This window comes from Homo sapiens, chromosome 6 (genome assembly GCF_000001405.40).
Source record: "Homo sapiens chromosome 6, GRCh38.p14 Primary Assembly".
Taxonomy (NCBI): Eukaryota; Metazoa; Chordata; class Mammalia; order Primates; family Hominidae; genus Homo; species Homo sapiens.
In genome coordinates, this window is record NC_000006.12 from 39,450,646 (window position 1) to 39,472,943 (window position 22,298).

The following is a 22,298-nucleotide window of genomic DNA, read 5'->3' on the forward strand; positions in this document are numbered from 1 at the left end:
AACACAAAAATTAGCTGGGCCTGGTGGTACATGTCTGCAGTCCCAGCTACTCAGGGGGCTGAGGTGGGAAGATTGCCTGAGCCCGGGAGGTTGAGGCTTCAGTCAGCCATAATCGCACCACTGCACTCCAGCCTGGGTGACAAAGTGAGATGCTGTTTCAAAACATTAATTAATAAAAGAAGCAAGAAAAATCACTCACAATCTCTCTACTTTCCTTCCAGTTTTTCTATGCTTTGTTTTACTACATAGTTAAGATGATACTATATATACAATTTTGTAGCCTGTTTATTTTACTTAACATTATCTCATAATCCTTTTTTCGTCAGTAGTGAAAGTCTTTAGGAATGTTGCTTTTTATGGCTGGATAATATTCACCATTGTAGTCCATTCTCTAATGCTGGATTTTACATTGCTTTATATATATACACTATGCAAATAATGCTGCACCGAGTGTCTTGGTGCATTAATAAATTAATTAATTCAACAAGTATTTACTCAGTGGCCACTATATGTCAGTTACTATTCTTGGAGCTGGGAATATGGTGGTGAGCAAAGGCTTATTTCCTTTGGAGAGCTTATGTTCTACTGAGGGCAACAGACAAGAGAATCAAATAAGCACATGCTATTAATTAGTTCTATGAAAAGAGATGACGAAAAGTAAGAGGATAGAAAGATATGAATGATGGGGCAGGCTATTTTACTGAGGGAGAATACAGGAAGGTCTCTCTGAAAAAGTGTATTTGCACAAAGGCATTTTGGATTATTTCTGTAGGCTGGATTCTCAGAGGGAGGAATTGAAGTTCTTGCTTTCTAGGAAGCCAGTTTATTCACTGACAGCAGTTCTAGAGGAAAGAACTGTTATAAAAATGCACTCTACTAGGGCATAACCTTGAGAAAATTACTTAATTCCTCTGCTCCTTGGTTTTCCTGCCTGCAGTGGAATCGATTACACCTGTATGTGTACATCTATATGTATATGTGTGTGGTAAGGCTGAGGGAGGGGCATGGCTGTGAGGATGGAATGTTAAGGTTCTTACATCCCAGAAAACTTGGGTTAGGGAGCAAACACATGTCTGTGAAAAGGGAATGGTCAGGCTGTGAAATGCATGCAGGGCATTCCAGGTGATAAAAACCCTAACTGAAAAAGGGTTCTGGAAGGTGTGACATGAATACTTACTGTGTCTGGCACATATTAGGTAGTCATAATATATACTGAATGAAAGGAAGCACCCAATCTGTCCAGAAGAGCTTACTTAAAATGGGTAGCTAGGAGAAAATGTCTTGAATGATCACACAGAGGCTCAGTGTGGCTTGTGAATCAGATACTACAAAGACAGCCCTTCAAAATGGGCGAGCCTGCAATTCATGAGCCTGCAGATAGGCGGCATCCTCAGTTTCCTCATCCATGAAATAGGGCTAATGTCTACTTCATAGGGCTGTTTTGGGCAACTGTTTTTGCTGCTCTTGGTTTACAAATCCTGTCTTGTCTTTAATCCAGAAGCAGAACTGGATTGTGGAAAACAATACCAAGGGCTTGGGGCCCCAATTGCCCTCATCTGTTACATGACAGGAAGAGGAGAAGGAAGGAAAGGGTGCTAAAAGTTAAGCTGCTAGGATGAAGAAGAATCTAAATTGGATTTGCTTAAAAACTCAGCTTGGCATTCATCTGTGGTGAAAAATGTTCACTGGCGGATGCTCCAGGACCTAGTTAACTTTAGCTGGTATGGCTTGGTAGTGACCATCCTCTCTGCCCAAGCCCAGGAAGCTGCCTTTCACTTCATTGGGTTCACTAATGAGCTTTTGGTTGCCTTGAGCAATAATTTGCTCTCTGGATATAAAGAATGCAAGAGTGGGTAAGCTGAAAGCCCCTCTGGCTGGGTTTCCTCTTGTTACAAACAGTTAGTCTCTGAACTTGTAATTATGAGTCATGGGGCTCCCAGTCTGGCACAAAAGTGACTCATTTTAAGCAAATTATCAGCTTTCGCCCTTACCAAATGCTGTGATCAACCATTCTGTTCAAGAAAAAAGGGAACATTTTTATTAAAAGAGCAGGATGTGAAAAAGGAGAGCAAACTGCAACTATGATTTCCAGACGTATGGATCAAAGTCAAGTTCAGGCCCAGTGTAAGCCAAGCAACAAAATAAATAGTAAAAATGGCACAGAAAGCAAATGGTCAGGAAAATTCATTTCAGAACAGGCGCAAAATCAACCCTTGCAGTCAACAGCATAAGATTCCTATAATGCTATGATTCTTGGACATTCTCCCCTCCCACTTCCAACTCCCTTGGACCTACTGGAATTGAGGTCAAGGAAGAAACATCTTTCTTTAGATGACTTAACCCACAACTTTGTTAAAGAATCAGTGATGACGGATGCCTCCAAGTTGCCCAAAGCTAGTTACTTAGACAGATGAACTGATAGACAAAGCAATCAATTTAAACAAATGTGATCCAGAGATGGATCTACAATGTATGAAGAATCCCAAGGCCTTCTACTACAGAGCATTTTCCTGAGGACACCTGTTTCATTAATGGTCTTTGGCTGAGGAAACATTTGAAATGATCATTACCTCTTTGTCAGCTGCAAGAGTAGTAACTGATCTCAAAAGACAAATTTTATTCTCCGATGTCTGGGGTGTATTAACACTGCCCAGGACCACAGTAAAGGGAAATGGGTCCAGGGTGGACTGAAAGGCAATGTCGTCCGAGTTTGTGTTTTCTGGAATGGTTTGAGATTTCCAATTAATCTTTTACAATAGCTGCCCATTCATCTATGTCACTGAAGAAGATACCATAAGCTGCATGAGGAATTTGGCTCTGGGACAAATTGTCTGACTTCCAACTGTTACATCCTTTCTAAATTACTTTCAATTTAATACTGCTTTTCTTATATCTTGACTCTATCACTTCTCGTCCTTCATAAAAAAACAATGGCTACCAAATGGCTATTTTTGTATGTTCCCCAAACCCTAAAATAAAATCCATTAATCGATCACCCAATATTTCTTGAATATTTATCATCTCTGCTTTCTGGTAATCACTGTAGTTGATAAAGAATCAATAAAAACCACAAAAAAAGGGCAGAATATAACAGTCATTAATCACCTCCCAACTGGCAATTCAAGTGCACGTTTTGCAATTCTCATGCCTCTTGGCCTCTCTGAGGTATTTAAAAATATTCCTTAATTATTAAAATTTTCTTCTCTGGCTTCTTGGCATAGTTCTCTCCATATTCCCCTTGTATGTCTGTGACTGCCCCTTCTGAGCCTCCCTTACTGACTACTACACTGCCTTATCATCTAAGTAATATAACCAACAATGAGGAGTCAGTTGGAATAGAAAAGCAGTGTTAAATACAGTAATAGAAATAGAAAAGAAATAGAAAGAAGTGTTAAATACAGTAGATATTTCTGTTAAATACAGTAGATAGAAAAGAAGTGTTAAATACAGTAGATAAATACAGAACATGATGACTAAGTAGCATGGTGAGTATGTATTAGAACTCTTATGTTGCAATAGTGGAAACCTAAACTTTAAGCTTCAGACACTTTTTGATACAAAGACTCAAAAAGAAAAAAAGAGGAAATATTAATCAGAGAAAGTCACTCAAAATGCAGTACAGTCATCTAAAGAAATGGAAAAGATGAAAGAGAGATTGAGATGTGAAAGAGAGAGAGTAATAAGATCCAACACATGTGTAATAGGAAGCTCCAAAGATGTGAATAGATAGAATGGAGGAAAGGCAATATTAGAAAAGATAATAGCTCTGCATTTTCCAGAAATAATAAATATGTGACACCCGATATCCAGGAGCACAATAAATCCTGATCAGGAAAAATATAAACGAAACTCTTTCCTTAGATATAATAGTGATACTGAGAGCATCAAAAAAAAAAAAAAAAAAAAAGATCGAGCGTGAGCGACGCAGAAGACGGGTGATTTCTGCATTTCCATCTGAGGTACCAGGTTCATCTCACTAGGGAGTGCCAGACAGTGGGCGCAGGCCAGTGGGTGCGCACACCGTGCGCGAGCCGAAGCAGGGCGAGGCATTGCCTCACCTGGGAAGCGCAAGGGGTCAGGGAGTTCCCTTTCCGAGTCAAAGAAAGGGATGACGGACGCACCTGGAAAATCGGGTCACTCCCACCCGAATATTGCGCTTTTCAGACCGGCTTAAAAAACGGCGCACCACGAGACTATATCCCACACCTGGCTCGGAGGGTCCTACGCCCACCGAATCTCGCTGATTGCTAGCACAGCAGTCTGAGATCAAACTGCAAGGCAGCAGCGAGGCTGGGGGAGGGGCGCCCGCCATTGCCCAGGCTTGCTTAGGTAAACAAAGCAGCCGGGAAGCTCGAACTGGGTGGAGCCCACCACAGCTCAAGGAGGCCTGCCTGCCTCTGTAGGCTCCACCTCTGGGGGCAGGGCACAGACAAACAAAAAGACAGCAGTAACCTCTGCAGACTTAAATGTCCCTGTCTGACAGCTTTGAAGAGAGCAGTGGTTCTCATAGCACGCAGCTGGAGATCTGAGAACGGGCAGACTGCCTCCTCAAGTGGGTCCCTGACCCCTGACCCCCGAGCAGCCTAACTGGGAGGCACCCCCCAGCAGGGGCACACTGACACCTCACACTGCAGGGTATTCCAACAGACCTGCAGCTGAGGGTCCTGTCTGTTAGAAGGAAAACTAACAAACAGGAAGGACATCCACACCGAAAACCCATCTGTACATCACCATCATCAAAGACCAAAAGTAGATAAAACCACAAAGATGGGGAAAAAACAGAACAGAAAAACTGGAAACTCTAAAACGCAGAGTGCCTCTCCTCCTCCAAAGGAATGCAGTTCCTCACCAGCAACGGAACAAAGCTGGATGGAGAATGATTTTGACGAGCTGAAGGAAGAAGGCTTCAGACGATCAAATTACTCTGAGCTACGGGAGGACATTCAAACCAAAGGCAAAGAAGTTGAAAACTTTGAAAAAAATTTAGAAGAATGTATAACTAGAATAACCAATACAGAGAAGTGCTTAAAGGAGCTGATGGAGCTGAAAACCAAGGCTCGAGAACTACGTGAAGAATGCAGAAGCCTCAGGAGCCGATGCGATCAGCTGAAAGAAAGGGTATCAACAATGGAAGATGAAATGAATGAAATGAAGCGAGAAGGGAAGTTTAGAGAAAAAAGAATAAAAAGAAATGAGCAAAGCCTCCAAGAAATATGGGACTATGTGAAAAGACCAAATCTACGTCTGATTGGTGTACCTGAAAGTGATGCGGAGAATGGAACCAAGTTGGAAAACACTCTGCAGGATATTATCCAGGAGAACTTCCCCAATCTAGCAAGGCAGGCCAACGTTCAGATTCAGGAAATACAGAGAATGCCACAAAGATACTCCTCGAGAAGAGCAACTCCAAGACACATAATTGTCAGATTCACCAAAGTTGAAATGAAGGAAAAAATGTTAAGGGCAGCCAGAGAGAAAGGTCGGGTTACCCTCAAAGGGAAGCCCATCAGACTAACAGCGGATCTCTCGGCAGAAACCCTACAAGCCAGAAGAGAGTGGGGGCCAATATTCAACATTCTTAAAGAAAATAATTTTCAACCCAGAATTTCATATCCAGCCAAACAAAGCTTCATAAGTGAAGGAGAAATAAAATACTTTACAGACAAGCAAATGCTGAGAGATTTTGTCACCGCCAGGCCTGCCCTAAAAGAGCTCCTGAAGGAAGCGCTAAACATGGAAAGGAACAACCGGTACCAGCCGCTGCAAAATCATGCCAAAATGTAAAGACCATCGAGACTAGGAAGAAACTGCATCAACTAACGAGCAAAATCACCAGCTAACATCATAATGACAGGATCAAATTCACACATAACAATATTAACTTTAAATGTAAATGGACTAAATTCTCCAATTAAAAGACACAGACTGGCAAGTTGGATAAAGAGTCAAGACCCATCAGTGTTCTGTATTCAGGAAACCCATCTCACGTGCAGAGACACACATAGGCTCAAAATAAAAGGATGGAGGAAGATCTACCAAGCCAATGGAAAACAAAAAAAGGCAGGGGTTGCAATCCTAGTCTCTGATAAAACAGACTTTAAACCAACAAAGATCAAAAGAGACAAAGAAGGCCATTACATAATGGTAAAGGGATCAATTCAACAAGAGGAGCTAACTATCCTAAATATATATGCACCCAATACAGGAGCACCCAGATTCATAAAGCAAGTCCTGAGTGACCTACAAAGAGACTTAGAGTCCCACACATTAATAATGGAGACTTTAACACCCCACTGTCAACATTAGACAGATCAATGAGACAGAAAGTCAACAAGGATACCCAGGAATTGAACTCAGCTCTGCACCAAGCAGACCTAATAGACATCTACAGAACTCTCCACCCCAAATCAACAGAATATACATTTTTTTCAGCACCACACCACACCTATTCCAAAATTGACCACATAGTTGGAAGTAAAACTCTCCTCAGCAAATGTAAAAGAACAGAAATTATAACAAACTATCTCTCAGACCACAGTGCAATCAAACTAGAACTCAGAATTAATAATCTCACTCAAAGCCGCTCAACTACATGGAAACTGAACAACCTGCTCCTGAATGACTACTGGGTACATAACGAAATGAAGGCAGAAATAAAGATGTTCTTTGAAACCAACGAGAACAAAGACACAACATACCAGAATCTCTGGGACACATTCAAAGCAGTGTGTAGAGGGAAATTTATAGCACTAAATGCCCACAAGAGAAAGCAGGAAAGATCCAAAATTGACACCCTAACATCACAATTAAAAGAACTAGAAAAGCAAGAGCAAACACATTCAAAAGCTAGCAGAAGGCAAGAAATAACTAAAATCAGAGCAGAACTGAAGGAAACAGAGACACAAAAAACCCTTCAAAAAATCAATGAATCCAGGAGCTGGTTTTTTGAAAGGATCAACAAAATTGATAGAACGCTAGCAAGACTAATAAAGAAAAAAAGAGAGAAGAATCAAATAGACACGATAAAAAATGATAAAGGGGATATCACCACCGATCCCACAGAAATACAAACTACCATCAAAGAATACTACAAACACCTCTACACAAATAAACTAGAAAATCTAGAAGAAATGGGTACAATCCTCGACACATACACTCTCCCAAGACTAAACCAGGAAGAAGTTGAATCTCTGAATAGACCAATAACAGGAGCTGAAATTGTGGCAATAATCAATAGTTTACCAATGAAAAAGAGTCCAGGACCAGATGGATTCACAGCCGAATTCTACCAGAGGTACAAGGAGGAACTGGTACCATTCCTTCTGAAACTATTCCAATCAATAGAAAAAGAGGAAATCCTCCCTAACTCATTTTATGAGGCCAGTATCATTCTGATACCAAAGCTGGGCAGAGACACAACCAAAAAAGAGAATCTTAGACCAATATCCTTGATGAACATTGATGCAAAAATCCTCAATAAAATACTGGCAAACCGAATCCAGCAGCACATCAAAAAGCTTATCCACCATGATCAAGTGGGCTTCATCCCTGGGATGCAAGGCTGGTTCAATATACGCAAATCAATAAATGTAATCCAGCATATAAACAGAGTCAAAGACAAAAACCACATGATTATCTCAATAGATGCAGAAAAAGCCTTTGACAAAATTCAACAACTCTTCATGCTAAAAACTCTCAATAAATTAGGTATTGATGGGACGTATTTCAAAATAATAAGAGCTATCTATGACAAACCCACAGCCAATATCATACTGAATGGGCAAAAACTGGAAGCATTCCCTTTGAAAACTGGCACAAGACAGGGATGCCCTCTCTCACCGCTCCTATTCAACATAGTGTTGGAAGTTCTGGCCAGGGCACTCAGGCAGGAGAAGGAAATAAAAGGTATTCAATTAGGAAAAGAGGAAGTCAAATTGTCCCTGTTTGCAGACGACATGATTGTTTATCTAGAAAACCCCATCGTCTCAGCCCAAAATCTCCTTAAGGTGATAAGCAACTTCAGCAAAGTCTCAGGATACAAAATCAATGTACAAAAATCACAAGCATTCTTATACACCAACAACAGACAAACAGAGAGCCAAATCATGAGTGAACTCCCATTCACAATTGCTTCAAAGAGAATAAAATACCTAGGAATCCAACTTACAAGGGATGTGAAGGACCTCTTCAAGGAGAACTACAAACCACTGCTCAAGGAAATAAAAGAGGATACAAACAAATGGAAGAACATTCCATGCTCATGGGTAGGAAGAATCAATATCGTGAAAATGGCCATACTGCCCAAGGTAATTTACAGATTCAATGCCATCCCCATCAAGCTACCAATGACTTTCTTCACAGAATTGGAAAAAACTACTTTAAAGTTCATATGGAACCAAAAAAGAGCCCGCATCGCCAAGTCAATCCTAAGCCAAAAGAACAAAGCTGGAGGCATCACACTACCTGACTTCAAACTATACTACAAGGCTACAGTAACCAAAACAGCATGGTACTGGTACCAAAACAGAGATATAGATCAATGGAACAGAACAGAGCCCTCAGAAATAACGCCGCATACCTACAACTATCTGATCTTTGACAAACCTGAGAAAAACAAGCAATGGGGAAAGGATTCCCTATTTAATAAATGGTGCTGGGAAAACTGGCTAGCCATATGTAGAAAGCTGAAACTGGATCCCTTCCTTACACCTTATACAAAAATCAATTCAAGATGGATTAAAGATTTAAACGTTAGACCTAAAACCATAAAAACCCTAGAAGAAAACCTAGGCATTACCATTCAGGACATAGGCGTGGGCAAGGACTTCATGTCCAAAACACCAAAAGCAATGGCAACAAAAGCCAAAATTGACAAATGGTATCTAATTAAACTAAAGAGCTTCTGCACAGCAAAAGAAACTACCATCAGAGTGAACAGGCAACCTACAACATGGGAGAAAATTTTCGCAACCTACTCATCTGACAAAGGGCTAATATCCAGAATCTACAATGAACTCAAACAAATTTACAAGAAAAAAACAAACAACCCCATCAAAAAGTGGGCGAAGGACATGAACAGACACTTCTCAAAAGAAGACATTTATGCAGCCAAAAAACACATGAAAAAATGCTCATCATCACTGGCCATCAGAGAAATGCAAATCAAAACCACTATGAGATATCATCTCACACCAGTTAGAATGGCAATCATTAAAAAGTCAGGAAACAACAGGTGCTGGAGAGGATGTGGAGAAATAGGAACACTTTTACACTGTTGGTGGGACTGTAAACTAGTTCAACCATTGTGGAAGTCAGTGTGGCGATTCCTCAGGGATCTAGAACTAGAAATACCATTCGACCCAGCCATCCCATTACTGGGTATATACCCAAATGACTATAAATCATGCTGCTATAAAGACACATGCACACGTATGTTTATTGTGGCATTATGCACAATAGCAAAGACTTGGAACCAACCCAAATGTCCAACAATGATAGACTGGATTAAGAAAATGTGGCACATATACACCATGGAATACTATGCAGCCATAAAAAATGATGAGTTCATGTCCTTTGTAGGGACATGGATGAAACTGGAAACCATCATTCTCAGTAAACTATCGCAAGAACAAAAAACCAAACACCGCATATTCTCACTCATAGGTGGGAATTGAACAATGAGATCACATGGACACAGGAAGGGGAATATCACACTCCGGGGACTGTGGTGGGGTGGGGGGAGGGGGGAGGGATAGCATTGGGAGATATACCTAATGCTAGATGACGAGTTAGTGGGTGTAGCGCACCAGCATGGCACATGTATACATATGTAACTAACCTGCACAATGTGCACATGTACCCTAAAACTTAAAGTATAATAAAAAAAAAAGTAAAAAAAAAAAAAAAAAAAAAAAAGATCTTAAAAGTAGCCAGGGGAAAGGCATATTGTCTACTAAGGAATGACAATTACATTGACAGTATACTTTCTGATAACAACTATGGGAATAAAAAAGAACATAATAGTACTTTTACCATATTGAGAGAAAACATGTATCAACCTAGAATTCTATATGCAGCTAAATTGCCACTTGAATGTGGGTGACAAAATACTCACTTCTGCACTTTACTCTTATAGAAAGTGCAAACTCTAGCCTCAATTCCAAACAATCTTTACCCCAGGTACATAAAAATTTCAGTGTCCAAATGCGGTTTGTCTTTTCATACCTTTGTAATACTGCTTCCTTGGCTTAGAATACCCTTTCCAACATGGCAGGCTTCAACTCATTCTTCTAATTTCAGTTCAAATGCTATCTCTTCTGAGAAACCGTTCATCACTCCTCTTGGAAAAATTATTAACTTCATTCTTGCATTCCTTCACATTCATTTCAATATATAATAAATGTTTTATGAAAGTAAGCACGCATGAATGAAAACACTACATTAAGTGGTCAAAAGAGAGTTTTGCAAGAGGTTAGCCTTAAGTTAGGATTTGCTTTAAGCCCAGCTAGATCTTGTTTAATGTCCAACTTAATAACAATGAGAGTAAAGTTAACAATAAATCATAGGTCTATAATGACAATTATAGCATTCATCATATTATTGGCATTCATCTGTAATAGTCTAAAATGACTATTATAGACCTACGAGAGGAGAAGTGTTCTTCATCAGCAGGTAACACAGGCAATACAAGTGAGGTGGACCCTATTGGTTGACTAACCTACAAATCATGGCCAATTCTCTTCACCTTTACCTTCCTCTCACTCTAGACCAGCAGTGGCCAATGAAACTATGATGTAAGTCATACATATAATTTTAGATTTTCTAGTAATTTTTACTAGAAATTAATAGCTTTAGTTTTAATTTTTACATTAAAAATGTAAGAAAAGGTGAAATTAATTTTAATATGTTTTATTAAACTCATATCAAAAATATAATTTCAACATGTAATCAATATTCATAAAATTATTGATATATTTACATGTATTTTTATGCTAAATAACTATACTCATTTGCATGTTTTATTCTTACAGCACATCTTAATTCAGACACTGAATTTACAGTAGAAAAATTTGATCTACATCTGTTTTATAAATTTACAAGTGTAAAATGTAGCCAAACTGAGTAGTAAAAAATTATTATTTTTTAATATTTGTATCTGTATTGACAAAACCAGTCAATGAAGTGTTTATGTGTAATACAAAAAGTGTGTGTACCTGTTGACACATGTACTATAATACTAATATTTTATACTAAAGTGACATGTAGTCCTTTCAAAACAAGAAAGTTGTATGTAATAGAGACTTTTTATTGCTTCCATTTTATGCTTAAATTAATTAAAATGAAATAAAATTAGAAATTCAGAGATAATTTCAATTGCACTAGCCACATTCCAAGTATTCAATAGTCACATGCAGCTCATGGCTATCATATTGAATGGTGCAGCTCTGGAGGCTGGAAAAGCCATATACCTATGTTTCCAGGCTCCTTTGAAGCTTGGCATGGCTGTGTGATACATTTACTTTATGGCCAAAGAAAATGTATGAGAACGTTTGGAGGGGTATTCTTGGAAGGCTTTTTGCTTTCCTGATAAAGAGACAAACTCAAGAGGAGAACTTGTTGGCACCATTCCTTCCTCCTTCCTGCCTTAAATGTGAACATTATGTAATGTCTGGAGCTATAGGAAACATCTTATCACCATGAGGCAAACTCATATGAAGATGCAAAGTTAGTACACTAAGAATGATGAAGTAATAAAGTGAGACCCTGATGACAATCACTGAGCTGCCAGATCAACACGAGATCACCTACCTTTTGAACTTCATTATAAGAAATCAGTGACTGTCCTTATAACTTAAGTCATTAATAGACTGATAACACTTGTAGCTGAAAGCATCCTAATGGGTACAATGAGCATGATGGGCTGGGAAGAGAGCCAATAGCCAGCCTGAGGAGGGTAGAGGTATTTACTGAAGAATAATGAAAAATGAGTCTACAGAGATGGGGTGGAGCCAGATAATGGAAGGCTGACGAGATATCTGAAATGAGAGGCCCACAGCAAAGCATCTGTCCTTGTCTCAGAGACCTTATCATATTTTGTATTTTCCATAGTAGTTTGTATATATGTCATAAATATATGCACATATATATATTTGCTACTAGATTATAAGGGCTAGGAACTTGTACAGAGAAAATATTCAGTTAATTTTCATTAGTTGATGATTAGATATAGAGCTGGAGGTATCAAGGCTGGTTTTTAGCATTTTAGCATGGATCAAATATTCAACATTAAAGAAAATTCAGCAAACTAAAGCCCTTAGTGAGAAAATCTATTAAGAGTTCCTATATTAACACGTCAAATAGAATGTCTTCAGCCTAACTTTGTTCCATCAACAGCTAAGACAACAGCTAAGATGAAATTTAACTACACTGAGTTAAATTTTGCCCAACCCTCTCTACTTTCAACTTAATTACTGGTAATACCTTATTCTTCCTAAGACATTTGGCTTCTATTTTCATCTCTTTGAATGGGTAACATGTAATCTTATGGTGTCCCTTCTGTTATTCCTCTGAACTAAGCTCCCCCATTTTCTCTCCTTTATCTCACTTCCACAGTGTGAGACTAGGCCTCCAACTAACAGTTTAAATACTATGTAAGCCTCTATTGTCCAATCTGCCTCCAGCCTCATCAATCCCAACCTACTATCCAATCAAATTTCTCTGAAAATATTCTTAAAAAAACATGTTATTTTTTCAGATTTTAAAATAATATGTTCTTTGTAGGACATTTGAATATTTCAACAAAAGAGACGAATAATCTCTAATCTGACTACCAGGAGATAGCAACCATAACATTTTAGTGTATTTTCTTCCAGACATTTTTCTATGCATGTTTAGATCTATTTAACATCATTGAAATTATAAAAGTGTACTCATCTTTTTTACTTCTCATCACATCATAAAACATTTCCTGAGTAATTAAAAATTCCTCAAAATCATCTCAAAAAATAATTGTATGATGTCCCATCAGATGGCCACTTTTTAAATCTTATTTAAACATTTTTCATATCAACACATCTCTTCTGAGTCCCCATAGTGACTGTCAGTTGTCTTTTATTAAATAAAAATTCCAAATCTTGGACCCTTTGGATGCTGTCATTCTAAATCTGCCCCTATCTTCTGCTGGCCTTTCAGATTTTAACCAAATAAGTTGGCTTGCTCCTCTCTCCTTTGAGTCATCATTCATTTTCTTCCTCCCACATCTCTGTCAAATCACTGCTGTCTTTAAAATTTACCTCGGGTAATCTCCTATTGTCTCTTTCTTTATATTTTCAAATATCCTTGTTTAGTAGGTGTACATATTTATTACTTTGAGAGTTTGTGGCTGATCATATTTATGTTTCTGCTACATGTGTGTTATGGTCTGATAGACTGGCAGGGGCCAGGATGGGTGGTGGGACCAAAAGCAGCAGGAGAAGAGCTTGCAGATGGTGGCCACATCTGACCGTTGTCGTGCTTGATGAGGTGGTCAGCACTGAAAGGGAGGCATGAGGCAGGACTATTCTCATGCTCAGAGCTGAGCAGTGGAGGGTGATTATGTTGGCCCGGCTTTGATTAACAAGATAGTCTATCAGGCATTTGGAGACCATCTGCATTTTCAGCCTAAACGAAAACATATTTATTTTGGCTGCTAAGTATCTGGAGGATGAGGGAACCATGTGCATAAGGGAGGCTTACCCTCCTCTTGGAAAAAATGATCTCAATTAGATCAATGTCTGCTTTAGATCAGCCAGCGTATTAAGCATAAACCTGTGCACTAACTTAAGGGTCCCAGTGAAGTGTCCCTACTTTTGGATCTAATGTTCTTGACCTCACACAGCCATTCTCTTATAATCAGAAACTATGAGCATCTGTTTAAAAGTGGAATCTGGAATGCAGAGCAGCCACTTGCCTCCTCCTCCTCACCTAGCCAGGCCATCGCCTGGCAGCTCATCTCCACAGCCTGGATGCTAGTGGGCTAGGGCAGCCAGGTGGGGCCAGCTGGAATGCTCATAAGCACCACTGAGTGGAGCAGGATTCACGCTAACAAGACCCCACAGGAGCCCACTGGACTCTTGACTATGAGAGATCAGCACAACTTGTTGACTTACTATAGTGATATACCTACAATGGAAAAAAAGCCTTCCGAGAACTGCTTTTTAAAAATTGATCATTTGACTCTTATTAATATGCAACAAACATTGGGTCACTGAAAGCATGGCTGTCCCAGTTTATGGCAAAAGAAAGCCTATACAAAAGAAATCTGGTTTTGTGCTTGTTAGCCACTTGAGCAAACAGTTGAACAGGAGCTAGCAGCTCTAAGATGTATCTGTAAATTTTAATTGGTCAGGAGTTCTTTCCTAGTAGCCCACTTTTCCAAATATTTATGGCACCACCAGATGTCCGTGCGTTTCTCATTTCCAGAATAGGGCATGGACAAACTCTGCTGCTTCGGTAGGCGGGCGGGGATATCATACCCCATGTCTGCACATGCCTTGAAAGAGATGGTCTCTGGTTGCAGCATCACTGGCCATAAGGTTATCAAAGGAGGGCAAGAAGCATGGGCAGATGTCTTCATAGAGCATGGCAAGATGCATCTTTGGCAAATGAAGACTTTTTGACGTGTGACTCTGGTCTCAAGAAATCAAAGTAATGACGTTATTATCAAGAGACAATAGCAGGTAATTGAAAAGTTGCCAAAAGTAAAACTTCAGAATCATCCTGGACTCCTCCCTTCTCTTCACTGGCATTTAATTGGTCACACAGACCTTTTGATTTCCTCTCATCTGGACCTCGCCTATCCTTCTCTTCTTTATCTCCAACACCACTGTCTTTGTTCAAACTCTCATCATCTCATGCCTAAACTGCTGCAATACCTTCCTATTTGTCTCCCTGACTTTAGTCTGTCTTCCTATGCACATCAGAAACATCCTTCCAAAATAAATCTGAAGCTTCTCTCTGATGCTTAAATACTTTCAGAGGTTCCCCAGTGTTTATGGCATCATGTCCCAGTCTTGTGTATTTAACAACTGGGCCCTACCCTACGACTTTTCTTCTGCCACTCCCCACCATAAAGGGTACATTGTGTTCTAACTACACTCAACTACTTGGCATCCTCTAAACAGTTCAGACATACCATGATTTTGCATGCCTCTGTTCTTTTTGATCATACTATTCCTTATTCCTCAAATCCTCTTCTCCTTCACCTCTGTTTGATGAATTTACTTCAATAGGCAGCTAAAATATTGCTGCCCCTGAAGCCCACTTTAATTCTTCCTGGCAGAATGTCACTCCCTTCTTTCCAGGCATAGTCCTCGGCTCTTGCCCCCATCATCCCTTCCATATTACATGGCAAGTGCTTCTTTATTTTTGTCAGTCTCTCTGACAGACATCTCTGTGAGCTCCTTGACCACAGGACATTGCACTCCAGGAGTTAACACAGGGTCTCACGTGTGTAGTGTTCAATCAGGTTTGCTGAATACATAAATACGGCTGTGTAAAAAGTTGTTCTGATAAAGCTTTATGTAACAACAAGGCCAACTTTCCTCCCCCCTTCCTCCTTCCTTCTCTCCTTCTTCCTTCCTTCAAACACCGGCTGCCAGGATTCTTTTGGACTTTCTGGAGGAACACATAACAATGGTTTCTGAGCTTCAAGCATCAGAGATAAAGGAGTTGCTATTTCCAAAATGGTGGTGTAGCTCAGAGGACCTCATCACCAGTGACACAATCAAAGTCAGTGAAAATTATTAAAACAAAGAACAACAACAAAAACCATTTGAAATATCTGAAAATTGTCTAAAGGCACGCAGCAAATGGAGAAATATTCATTCAAGGAAATCTACTAAATCTCAGTAAGAAGAGTAAGAGTCCATTGGCATTTGAGCCATGACTTGCTCCTTCCCCACCCCCCACCTCTGCATGATGGAAGCTCTACTCTGGATGACTGTAAATTAGAACATGAAGCTTCCACTCCCCCTAGCTCCCAGTCTAAGGTTATGGTATCTCCCTGGGAAAAGCAGGCCACCCACATTTCTCATGACCCCTATCTCTGTATTGCATAAGCTGTAGGCCAGGCAAGAGCAAATGAGAGATCTGGGGCTTCCTTCCTCCACCCAGGCCCCTCTTTGTAAGGCAGAAGTTCTCTTCCAGGTGAAGCAGGCCAAGAATACCAGGTCTCGATTGCCTTTGCCTGCTCATAAAGTGATGGCTCCATGCCAGGAGAAGTAAGCTGAGAAGGCAAAAGGCTACTTCCCCCCTTCCCAGCACCTCACTCATAAAGCAGGGTGTTGCTTCCAGAGAAGCAGACCACTGTCCCCACTGCCAGTTCCAGAGCAATGGCTTAGAGATTTGTTCCACAGGACAAGGCAGGCATAACAACAGAGAGCTTTATAGCTTTCCCCAAGGAACTGAGGGTACTTGGAACAGAGACTATGAGGAAGTTCAAGCCTGAAGGTGCTGTAGAAAACAATGGAGATTCTGGTGGTAGCCAATGAAAAGGACACTCACTAGTAGCTCCATGAGAGCAACAAGCTAAACCAGTTTAAGTTTAGCAAAGATCAGCTAGATGCTTAACAGAGAGAACCAGGGAAAAGAGATAGTTAATAAGAGCCTTTCCTGGGTTTGAAACAAAACTCAAAGAATGGCCTCAAAGACTACCCCTGCAAATAAGGTGAATTTAACTGCATCAAACTGTGAGGAAATTTATGCTCAGACACTGTTGAAAACAATAAAACCATCAGGTGTCAATTAGTGAAGGCTAATATTTACACATGATATCAACAAAGGCAGTCAGCTTAGCAGAGATATCAGGGAAAAAAAAAACACAGAGAGAGGCAGCCCTGCTAAAACCATTGTCATCCTAAGGTGACTGTGCACATGCCCAAGGCTATGCCCTCTGAGGAACAAAATCATAGGCTAACGCTAAGGGAAATTAGACTTCACTGAGATAGTCCATCCAAGCCACTAGACGAATAAACAAGTATAAACAAGCCCCAGAAAAGGTGGGTGGGGATCAATATCTAGAGCTGCTATATTATCTAAAACATCCAATTTTCAATAAAGAATTATGATAAATGCAAAGAAAGCGCTACCCATACACAAGAATAAAGCAGGCAATAGAAACTGCCTATGAAAGGGCATATATGCTAGCTTAGCAGACAGACTTCAAACCAGTCATATACATATATTCAAAGAACCAAAGGGAGCAATGCTTAAAGAAGTAAAGGTTTGGCTCTGAGGACTTGCTGAAAATGAAAACTAATAAATAAATAAATAAAGAAGCAAAGGACACTATAATGCAATGCCTCATCAAATAGAGACTATCAATAAAGAGATATAAATTATTTTTAAAAACCAAATTGAAATTCTGAAGTTGAAAAGTGCAATAACCAAAATGAAAGATTCACTATAGGGCTCAAGAGGAGATTTGAACTGACAGAAGAATTAGTGAACCTGAAGATAGATCATTAGAGATTACATACTCTGAAGAGCAAAGAAAAAAAAAAGAATAAAGCAAACAAAAGGAATAGAGCCTCAGTGAAATGTGGGGCACCACTGAGGACACCAGGATACAAGTAATGAGAGTACAAGACGGAGGGGAGAAGAGAGAGAGAAAAAGCAGAAAAAATGTTTAAAGAAATAATGCAAAAACACCCCAAATTTGATGAAAATATTAGGTTATAGATCCAAGAGTCTTAATAAATTCTAAGTAGGATCAATACAAAGAGATCCAGACCTAACTACATCATAGTTAAAATGTTGAAAGCTAAAGACAAAGAGAAAATCTTGAAAGCAGCAAGAGAAAACTAACTTGTCATGGACAATAAGATTAAAAGCTGACGTTTAATGAGACATGATGAAGGCCAGAAGCCAATGGAATGACACACTGAAATACTGATGAAGAAAAAGCTGTCAACCAAGACTCTTGTATTCAGTAAAACTATTCTTCAAAAATTAAGGTGAAAGACATTCTTAGATAAATAAAAATGGGAGAATTCATTGCAAACAGATCTGCCTTACAAGAAATATGAAAGGAATTTCTTCAGTTTAAGTGCAAGTGACTCTAAAGGTTAATTCAATTCCACATGAAAAAAAAAAGGACACCAGTAAAAGTAATTATATAGGTAATTATAAAGGATAGTATAATTGCATATTTCTTTTTTAAACTGATCTAAAAAGCAATTGTATCAAATAGTATGTATATAATTTTATTGTGGAAACTATAACATATAAGTGTAATGTAGTTGTTAGTAATAGCACAAAGGAGGGGGTGGAAGCAAAGCTGTCCTGGAGTAATGAAATGACACCAGATTATAACTTGAATACATACATACACACATACAACAATAATAGCATAAAAAAGGGAAGCATGAATAGAGATATATAGGATTAACCTATCTCACTGGAATTAATTAGTATAAATATGAAGTAGATTCTGATAGAGCTGAGATGTATATTTTAAGCCCTAAGCAACCACTAGGAAAATAACTCCAAAATAAACAATAAAAAATCATTAGAGGGATTAAAATGCTACACTAGAAAATATTCACTTAATGTAAAATAAAGCATTAAAGGAGGAGACAGATAAAAAGGACATGATACATAGAAAAAATAAAATGGCAGAAATGAATACAACTATATAAATACTATCATTAATGCAAATAGATTAAAAATCCAATCAAAAGTCAGAGATTGTCACATGAGATTTAAAAAAAACCAAGATTTAACTGTATGCTATAAAAGATACAGTTTACCTTCAAACATACAAATTAGTCAAAAGTAAAAGATGTATCATGAAAACAGTAACCATAAGAAAGCTAAACAGGCTATGTTATTAGACAAAGTAGACTTTAAAACAAAAAAAAATGTTACTAGAGATGGAGAGGAACTTTTAAAACTTTTACTTTAAATTCAGGGATACATATGCAGGTTTGTCATATAGGTAAACTTGTGTCATGGGGGTTCTTCGTACAAATTACTTCATCACCCAGGTATTAAATCTAGCACCCATTAGTTATGTTTCCTGATCAAGAGGGACATTTCATGATGATAAAAGCATCAATCAATCCATCAGAAAGACACAGAAATTACATATAAACAACTAACAACAGAGTTCCAAGAAAGATAAAGGAAACTAACATAATCAAAGAGAGAAACAGATGATTCAACAATAATATTTGGAGATTTCAATACTCCACATTCAACAATGGGTAGAACTAGGGAAAAGATCAATAAGGAAATAGGGAACTTGAACAACACTATATGCCAACTAGACCTAACAGACAGTGTAGAACACTGTATCCAGAAACAGAAGAATACAGATTTTTCACAAGCACACACGAAAACATTCTCTAGGATAAATCATGTCTTTGACCATAAAACAAGCCTTCATAAATATAAAAGGATCAAGATCATACAAAGTATGTTCTTCCATCACAGAATGGTGGGAGGGAGGGCCAAAGTGGATTATAGAGCAGAGAATAGGGGAGGGTTGAGAGTTGGGATATCAGGGCACAGTCAGGAGCAGGTAAAGAGGTAGAGTAGGGAACTTTGGGATTTAAAGTTCAAAGTTCAGAGGTCTAGGAGCAATTGCACATGGTGAAAAAACCAATGCAGTAACAGCAGCTCAGTCTGACGGGTAGCTGAGCCGTACAATGTGATTAAGTGCAACTCAAATGCCTGCCTTGCAGCTCCTGCCTGTGACGCAGGAGGTCACAGACTTCTCTGTAGGAGCATTTTGGACTGGTCATAGCAGAACATCCAGTGGTGTATCTTAATGAATTTATCTCTGAGCACTCCAAAATGAAATCTGCCAGTTGACTGTCCTCAAGATTATCTAAGAAGGATGCCTGTGAAACCCAGGAGGATGATTGCGGGGGAGGTCCTTTCATACTCCCCGGGTGATGTGGAGAATGTTGCATAGACACAGGATCAGGTTTAGAAAACAACATATTTTAGGGCAGGAAAGAGGAGTAACATGTCATGTTTCACCTAAATGTGTAACCATCTACTGACAGCTGTTTCCACTATTCCCCATCAATCAAAGATTTGGAGAGAAGTGTTAACTCTGTCAGGCCAGAAAAAGACCCCTGAGCAGGACTGGCCTTCCCAGCATGCAAATGCACTCCAAGGGAGTAATAAGCACTCACTGTCTGTATTCCTCTACCCACTGCCCTTTATAACGTGGGCTCCCTTATCATATTTCTTTAAGATGATCAGGTTTTTCCTTTAATGGAACACCACAGAGCTCTTTTTCCCCCTGACCTTTTCATTCATGTTGAATAATAAAACTTAACATTGAGCTGTGATTTGATATTACAAGGCCTGGGATGCCAAAGTTAAGGCCTTGAGTTTGCCAGAAGTTTGTAATCCTTGGTCCAGCAAAATTTAAGGATGCAATCTGGAAGTGTTTTAAATGCCAAAAGAAATGTGACACCTCTCTGCTAGGTTTTCATTTCCTTCTCTCCTGTTCTTCTTTTCCCTTGGTATCTTTTATAGTCTCCATGGTTCCTTCCTGAGGCAGCCTCTCTAGCACATGGGCCCACCTCTTCCCAAAGAAGGTTCTACTGAACTCAGTACGGCTGCATTTGCTGCGTGTCTTGTGCTTCCTCCTCTCTGACTCTTTGACCTTTCTTTCCATGATGCCTCTGCCTGCAGGCCCACACTCAGCCTTCTCACTGCCTTCTTGTCTGGCCACGAGATTGACCATTCCCTGTGCCCTGGGCCAGCTACCTACATGGATCTTCTCTACTGTTTCTGGGCAAGGACACTGGTCACAGGGCCAGCGCTCGACACTCTACGTCTTGGATTTTATTTAACTGTGGTCTTTTTATAGGTCCTCCATTCATGAGGCCACACCTCTTCAGCAAATGTGTACCCATGATGGCTGCAGGCTGTCTACCTAAAGGGTCTCAGTGTCCTGATCCTCAATGTCATCATGAGCTGGGGAGAGAGTGTTAAAATCATCTGCCAGCACATCTGAGGACTGGCTCAAGGTAGAAAAGGTCTAGGTAACTCCTATTTTTGTAATCTTCCCAGTGGAACTACCTTAGCTCTAGGAGAAGGGAGTTCTTTTTACATATGTACCTTGGTCTTGACAGAGCTGCTTGCTGAGCATCTAGATAGAGATGATATAGCATGACCTTCTGAAGAATGAATAAACATCAAGGAAACCATCTGGAATAGAGTAAATTGTAAATACATGTCCCTTACTTCTTCCATTTTTAAATGAAGCCATTGATGTTGCTGATTCACCAAAGTATTCCAACTGCAGCCTGAAGTACCCGTGGCACTTAGAATCTATGTCTAAGAGCACCACGTCCTCATGCAAGAAGCAGCCTAAATCCTTCCCAGGAGCCACCCTTCCACTCCTTTACTAACTTGCACCTTTCCCTTCACAAGCAAACTCCTGGAAGAGCTGTCAGCGTTCCTTGGCTCCATTTCCTCAACTACTCTTCACCTTTCATGCCCTACAGTCTGGTTTCTATCCTCAGCACCTCACTGAAACTGCTCTTCCAAGCTCACCTACCACCACCTTATCTTCTTTGATACTAACAACCAAGCCCAATTCCCTTCTCTGTGTCTGTTCCTCTTCAGTTTTCATGCCAGGCTTCTCTTCTCCTTAAATGCTAGCTCTTTTTTCTTTTCTTCTCCTCCAGCCAGACACTTCCATGTCTCGGGGTGAAAAAATCATTCAAAAATTAGTACCCTTAAAATGGCAAATAATGAATGACTCCAAAAGATAAATTGTTGAGACTTTTGCCTTTTGTATTATCAGGGAACTAAGCATAGCCACATGCTCTAAACAAAATCTGTGGTCAGTGCCAACTGCAATAGGAAATCAAGCAGATTTGTGGGGCTTTTGCAGAATGAAAAGTCAAAACCAAAACCAAAACCAACAATAACACCACCTCCTCCTCTCTCCCCCTTCCCACGAATATAAAAACATATTCCAATGTGATACTCTAGTTTTGTTTTGTTTTTCTAAAGGAGCTGCCTGACTTTCTTGACCTTGCAGAAAAATAAAATACTCCAGGTTTTGTGCTTTTACAGATGAGCCCTGGCCAAGTAGGCCAGTGGGATTTACACACTCTCTCTGACACATCACCACACACCTTTTGTTTTGATGCAACTACAGTGTTAATGTCACCAGATTCTTCAATAACAAAAGTGTTGTACATTTTCTTTTTTTTTTTTTTGAGATGGAGTTTCACTCTTGCTGCCCAGGCTGGAGTTTCACTCTTGTTGCCCAGGCTGGAGTACAA

At 39.6% G+C, this 22,298-nt stretch overlaps 1 protein-coding gene across 8 annotated transcripts in view, besides 1 other annotated feature; it reads right to left on the minus strand.

Moving 5' to 3' along the window:
- KIF6 (kinesin family member 6) overlaps window positions 1–22,298 on the minus strand; it is a 395,419-nt gene that overhangs the window by 120,656 nt on the left and 252,465 nt on the right. The window lies entirely within an intron of this gene.
- Window positions 4,170–4,844: an enhancer, noted in NCBI's record as "NANOG-H3K27ac-H3K4me1 hESC enhancer chr6:39422591-39423265 (GRCh37/hg19 assembly coordinates)". NCBI's record gives its function as "activates a minimal SCP1, AML or CMV promoter by ChIP-STARR-seq in naive H9 embryonic stem cells {active_cell/tissue: H9 hESC(naive)}" and the evidence as "EXISTENCE:reporter gene assay evidence [ECO:0000049][PMID:30033119]".